The sequence below is a fragment of the Homo sapiens genome, chromosome X, assembly GCF_000001405.40.
Source record: "Homo sapiens chromosome X, GRCh38.p14 Primary Assembly".
In the NCBI taxonomy this organism is placed as follows: Eukaryota; Metazoa; Chordata; class Mammalia; order Primates; family Hominidae; genus Homo; species Homo sapiens.
Window position 1 is genome coordinate 43,876,785 of NC_000023.11, and position 6,000 is coordinate 43,882,784.

The 6,000-nt window shown below is 47.6% G+C and overlaps 1 protein-coding gene across 1 annotated transcript in view; it reads right to left on the minus strand.

Annotated features, from left to right (window-relative positions):
* MAOB (monoamine oxidase B) overlaps positions 1-5,666 on the minus strand; it is a 115,841-nt gene extending 110,175 nt beyond the window's left edge. The window contains exon 1 of the mRNA NM_000898.5: positions 5,470-5,666. Within this exon, the coding sequence (NP_000889.3) occupies positions 5,470-5,515 (46 nt within the window). The 5' untranslated portion in view covers positions 5,516-5,666. The remainder of the gene's footprint in view (positions 1-5,469) is intronic.

Sequence of the window (6,000 nt, forward strand, 5' to 3'; positions counted from 1 at the left end):
AAAACAGGGCTTGGAAGCAGAATCTCTGTTACAGGCTAATGTTCTCCGAGTGTGCATGCACGCGTGTGTGTGTGTGTCAGTGCATTCAAATGCACAGCCACAAACCACTTCCTCAGCCCAAAGTTTGACAGTGAGGAAGCTGGCACACTGGCACTTCAGACCACTAGTTGCTAGTGGACATTTTGTCAGCCTGATGAACAATAATCATCAATATCTATTGTGTGCCTGCCAAATGCCAAGCCACATTCCAAGCACTCTACATGTATTTTCTCCTTTAATTCTCTCAGCCACTTTGTGAAATAGATACCATTATTATCCCCATTTCCAAATGAGAAAAGTAAGGCATGGGAAGGTTAACTAACTATTTTGCCCAAGGTGGCACAGCTAGTTAGTGGTGGAACCAGGGTAGACACCATGCTCTTAACCCCTATGCTCCACCACTGCCCCTGAATGTATGGCAGGGAGCCTAGACCTCAATACCCAGTCAGAGGAGAAGAAAATTGTGACCATTGTCAATGCCAAGCCAAGCCTTAAACCTGCCCTGGTGACTTCTGAGGACACATGGGGGCCTAGAAATTGTGACTCTAGTGGCAACTGGCTCTACTCACACAGCCCACCAACCGGCCCCAACACTGTGTCCCAGGGGTGTTAGAATCAAGCAGAAAGAACAAGGCTTTGTCATTCTTAACCTTCACAGAGCTTTTGTCATTCTAATCAAGCTCCTAACACCTTGTACAGCATGTAGATAACGCTTGATATGCTACCTTTTTATCATTTATTATTAAATAATATTATTAAATAAATAATATCATTTGTTATTAATGCATTTATCTTCTATTGTAGTTAAGACAGGAATCAAATGGCTGAAATGAAGACCAGATCAGAATTGGAATAATAGCCAGGTTGAGGTGAGGCTGAAGTACAGATCTAAGACTTCCAGAATTTCTCCTGAAGCGGAACCCAGTGGGTCTCAGAGCCCAAAGTGAGCCTGAGTTCCTCAGGCCCCTTGCGGGGGGATAAAGGAATTGGCTGAGCCAGGATGAGGCTGAAGTCAGGCGAGTCTCTCCTGATGCCCACATGTATACATGGCGTCCTGTTGCCACCTTATCTATGCTGCACATCCAGAAAAATTATTGGTTGGTGAAAAGAAGTGATTACATAGAAATGCCTGTTTTTGCTCCCTTAGATTGAAAAACTCTACAGGACAAACAAGGATATATTTCCAAAAAGGTAGAGTAAGGCACCTATAAGCCAAAGCCGAAGTGATCACTGTTTATGGTCCTACATGTGCATTCTTTCCAATCCTTGAAACAAGCCGGCCAGGAAGGCATTATGAGTCTCATTTTAAAGATGAGGCAGCTGAAATACAGGGAGGTTATGTACCTTTTAAGGTTCCACATAGGTAAGCATAAGAAATGAGATTCATAACTAGTGTGTTTGACACTAAGCCTATTCTCCCCCTCCCAGTCTTTTTTTATAGGCAGTCTTTGTCTGTGGCCCACGCTGGAGTATAATGGCATGATCATAGCTCACTGCAGCCTCGAGCTCCTGGACTCAAGTGATCCTCCCACTTCAGCCTCCAGAGTAGCTGGGACTACAGGTGCACTCCTCTATACCCAGCCTTTGTGTGTGTGTGTGTGTGTGTGTGTGTGTGTGTGTGTGGAGACCATGTCTCATTACGTTGCCAGGGCTGGTCTCAAACTCCTGGGCTCAAGCAATCCTCCCGTCTCAACCTTCCAAGATAAATCGTATGTTCTTTTAATATTGCTGTATTACCTCTGTGTATTCTTTCCTTGACTAGGATATACAAATTTTCAGGCATATCTATATAATTATTATTTTTTAGGACATTCAAGTGGGTTACAGGAGCCCAGGGAAGTTCTCCATTTTTCTTCACCAAAGGTGAGAAAGAGGCTTTGCCATTAACATATGGGCCACATCTGCCCACCACACACCTCAACTCATAACCCCTTGTGAGCCATCTCTGACATTCCCTGCCAAAGCCAGTACCACTAGCCTGCAGCCAGGCTTGCTCTCCCTGCCACAAAGATCACCTGCCAGGTGTTGGTTACAATTTGGAAGTCTGGTTCCAACACTTCCAGGGATCTCAAACAAGTGCCTGCCACCCTCAAATGACCAAATCTCCTCTCCTAAGTCTGGCCAAAACTTTCTTGTTTCTGCTTCAAGTTGCCTTTTTTAGTTTTTATTTTGGGGATTGAACAAGAACTATTCCAGAATTGCAAAAGATAGTTTCCATGGTTCCACCCACCCAAACACTAAAACTGAGAGACGCGGGACAGATGCAACGTGCTGCTGTCCAGTTCCATGTGGGAGATGTCATTGCTCTGCCAAGTCTCTGGAGATGATCTGCCCCTTGGGTAAAAGAGATTTCAGTGCATACTCATTTATACACCATACACATTTCTAAAAAGTTAGTCTACAACTATCTTGGAACTTTTAAAACATCAAAAAAGAAAGTTATGTATTAACCAGCTATCCTCCCAGTATGTCTCTGTTTATCCCAAAGGGAGTGATTAAAATTTGCTGACAGCTTTAAAAATTATCAGGGAATTGCCAGAATGTCCCAAGTTTAATAATTAACAAAGCTTAGAACGCAGAGTCAAATCCAGAGACTTTTAAACATAAATCATTGTGTTGGTCACCTACTAATTCGAAAATTCTACACACTACACTCTTGATTTTGGCCATTTCATCTACTAAAACCTCTATCGTACACATTTGTAACCCCAATTTCATTCCAACTGCTAGATTTCTCTCCCTGGGTGTCCTCCCAGAACCTCCAACTCTAGACGTCCTATCTTTTCCCAAAACCTTCTCTCCCTCTTCTTCATATCCCTCTTTTTGCTAATATCACCATCAGATGTGACACACGCCATTTGATGCATGGCACTCTGAATAAAAAATCATCAGTGCTATTCATTGATCACAGAAAGAGCTAAACCTTTCTGATATACAAGCCTCCCCATAATTCATCCCAACTGACTTTTCTAGCTTTCTCTCCCACCAGACCCCTCTGGCAACTCTCCGCAATGAAGTTCTTAAGTTATCCTACACGTTAGCATGTTCTTTCACATATTTGTGGTTTTATACAAGCTGCTCTTTAGTTTAAAAATGCTTTCTTCATCTAGTCCCCTGGTGAATTCATATTCATTCCTGAAGACATAGTTCAGATGTCACCAACTCTGTGAGTTCTTAGATTTTCTCAGACAGAGTTTGATGTTCTCTCCAATCACCTTCCCTAGAATTTTTTATATGCACTATTAAAGCACCTATCATATGCCAAAGAGTAGTAATTATTCTTGACTGTCTTCCACATCAGCTTGTGAGGGCCCCAGGAACAATGGCCCTGTATAAATCATCTTTTATTTCTTTTGGGACAAAATGTGGAACAGGAAGTAAATGTTCATTGAATGAATGAATAATGAATCAATGAATGGACCCCTCCCATGGCACGCACCACCTTCTACCTTGTATTGTCTGAGTATCCCATCACCCTTCTTGAATTGACAAGTCTTCCGGGGCAAGAACAACATGATCCATTTTTGAATCCCCTACACAGCCTCCCTCAATTCCTATTGTCTGAATAAATGGGTAAAACTCTTGAGGGGCTTGTGCCATATTTCAGACTCTGCAAAGCTATTTTACTCACATTGTTTCACTTGCCCTGTAATCCAGCAGTGACTAACTGGTGTTATCCCCATGTAGCAGATGAAGCAATTGAGTAAGACTGGGCCTTGGAAGGCTGCTTTCTTGGTTCTTAGAACAATGCCTATTCCGTGGAATGTTCTTGAGAAAAGTCAGATCTACTCATCAGTACCTTGTTTTGATCAGAGTTCGGGAGGATGAATGCAGAGGTTTCACCACTGCTTGCAAAAATAGTTAAACCCTTATCTACCTTTTCCAGATGAGTCTAACATGAGTAATGTGATTGAACCTGAAGGTGTGGAGTATGAATCAGAAAGGGACAAATCATGAAGGGAAAATAGAAAAATCTGAATCCATTGGGCATACTTTAGTGAGAAAATGACTTCGGGGGCCTGAAAAGAGAAACTTCAGCTTCTGTAAGATGGGGTGCTATGCAAGGCAGCATCAAGAGGCACTTAGTAATATTTTCTAAAACACCTAAGTAGGTATGCTTTTAAGTCCAACTTCCTCTAGGAGAGAAGATGTCAAAAATACTGAAAGAAAACTGAATTTATACACAGCCTTGGCCAACCTCAGCATGTTGTGATTACGCATCTATGTACCTGCAACACCAGGCACAGGGCCTGGCATGGGCGAGCTCACCAGAGCCTGCTAGACAGATGTGGTAGCCTGAGATCCCACCCAAAGGGGAGAAAGGCTGGAGCAGAGGCAGGAGGACTGGACCATGGTCAGCACCAAACATCCAATGCCTTGGTTTTTTCTCCAGCCACAGGAGAGTCAGAACAACTCTGTCCTGCCCTCCTGGCAGGGAGCAAGGCCAACCTCTACTTCCCAAAGGCCACTTGAGAACTCCTTAAGGCAAGTCTTAGACAATGCATCCACGGGTCTGGAGGTGTCCTAATTACTGCTCAAGTACTAGGCAGCGTTAGGAGGTGGGCCAAAGCATGCCCAGGGGGCCATTAAACAGGCTGTGCTGAGAGCATCATTGATTCCCATTGACCCTATCCCATAGGATCTGCCTGATCCTCCACAGAGGGTAAGTTCCACCACTACCCCCATCCCTTCTTCTGGCTTCTATTTTTCGGTGCCCTTGGTATGTACACAGCCCCGTGTGGCTGAGGGGGTAGTGTCTGTCCCCATCCTTGCCAAATATGGGCTAGGCCAGAGAGCAAAGCTGCAGCTTGGCCACCCTGCGCTAGGAGTGGGGTGGGGTGGAGTGGGGGTGCGAGAGGCATAAGAGGAAAACAGGCATTTGCCAAAAAGACACTGCAGCCTCAAGTTAGATCCGTGACAATCACAGAACCTCAAAGAATCAGGAGGGCCTGGAAAGTCTTTGGCAATCGATTGGCCAGGCTCCAACCTCTTCTGTTCAAGGTCGTTTTCCTGACGCCAGGACAACAATACGATGTGGTGCATGCTTGCTCTAAGCGAGGGTGCGGAGTGTCCAGGTCAAGTTGGAGCAAATGACTGACCTTTGTGCCACCTCCCCACCCCTTTTCCCTGGCTTCGAAAATTCCAGCAAGCGAAGGCCTAGCAGCCTTCTGGGGGAGAAGTTCAAAGTCTGGCCCCAGAGCTGCAACAGGCTTCCAGCCTCTGGCCTCTGCGTCCGGGAACGCACCCAAAATTGCCCCCAAAGGAGGGTTCAGTGCACGGCGCTCTGGACCCACTAGAGCCCTGCCCGTGCGTGGACAGTCTGGGGACTCCAGGGTCAGCCCCTGCCCCACGGCCGCCCCCCGCGTCTCCCCCAGGCAGCCACCTGTCCGAGCGCGTGAAGAGGAAGGAGGGCGCACAGCCGCGACTAACCTGAGATGCCGCCCCCCACCACGACCACGTCGCATTTGTTGCTCATGGCGCTCGCCCCGTTCCAGGCCTCCCTGGTGCCCGCTGCTCCGTTTTCTGGGCCTCGATCCCAGTCCTGCCTGCCAGCCAGCCCGCCCGCCTGCCCGCCGGCCTGCTGCGCGCTGCCCCCGTGCACCAGCGCCTCGGCGAGCCGCTATATTACCAGCCCCGGGAGCCCGGACGCGCAGCCCCGCCCGCCCGCCTACGCGCAGGCAGGCCGGGTGCAGCGCAGGGCCACCGCCCCCGCCCGCAGCTCTGCAGCCCAGGCCCGGGGAGGGCGGGTGCCTGGGCGGAGAGGTCACCTAGGACTTCAAAGAGTCCCGCCCCAGAATCCCCACTCCTCAGCCTTCTGCACGGTATTTTCCCATCAGCCTCCCTAGTGCACTATCAGGCTTGGCGGCTGGGAGGACGGCAAATTGGGGTGTCTTCCTTCAGGGCCCCAATTACTCCTTGGGTGTAGGGCAAATAATAAGAAACTTCCATTGAGTGATTTCA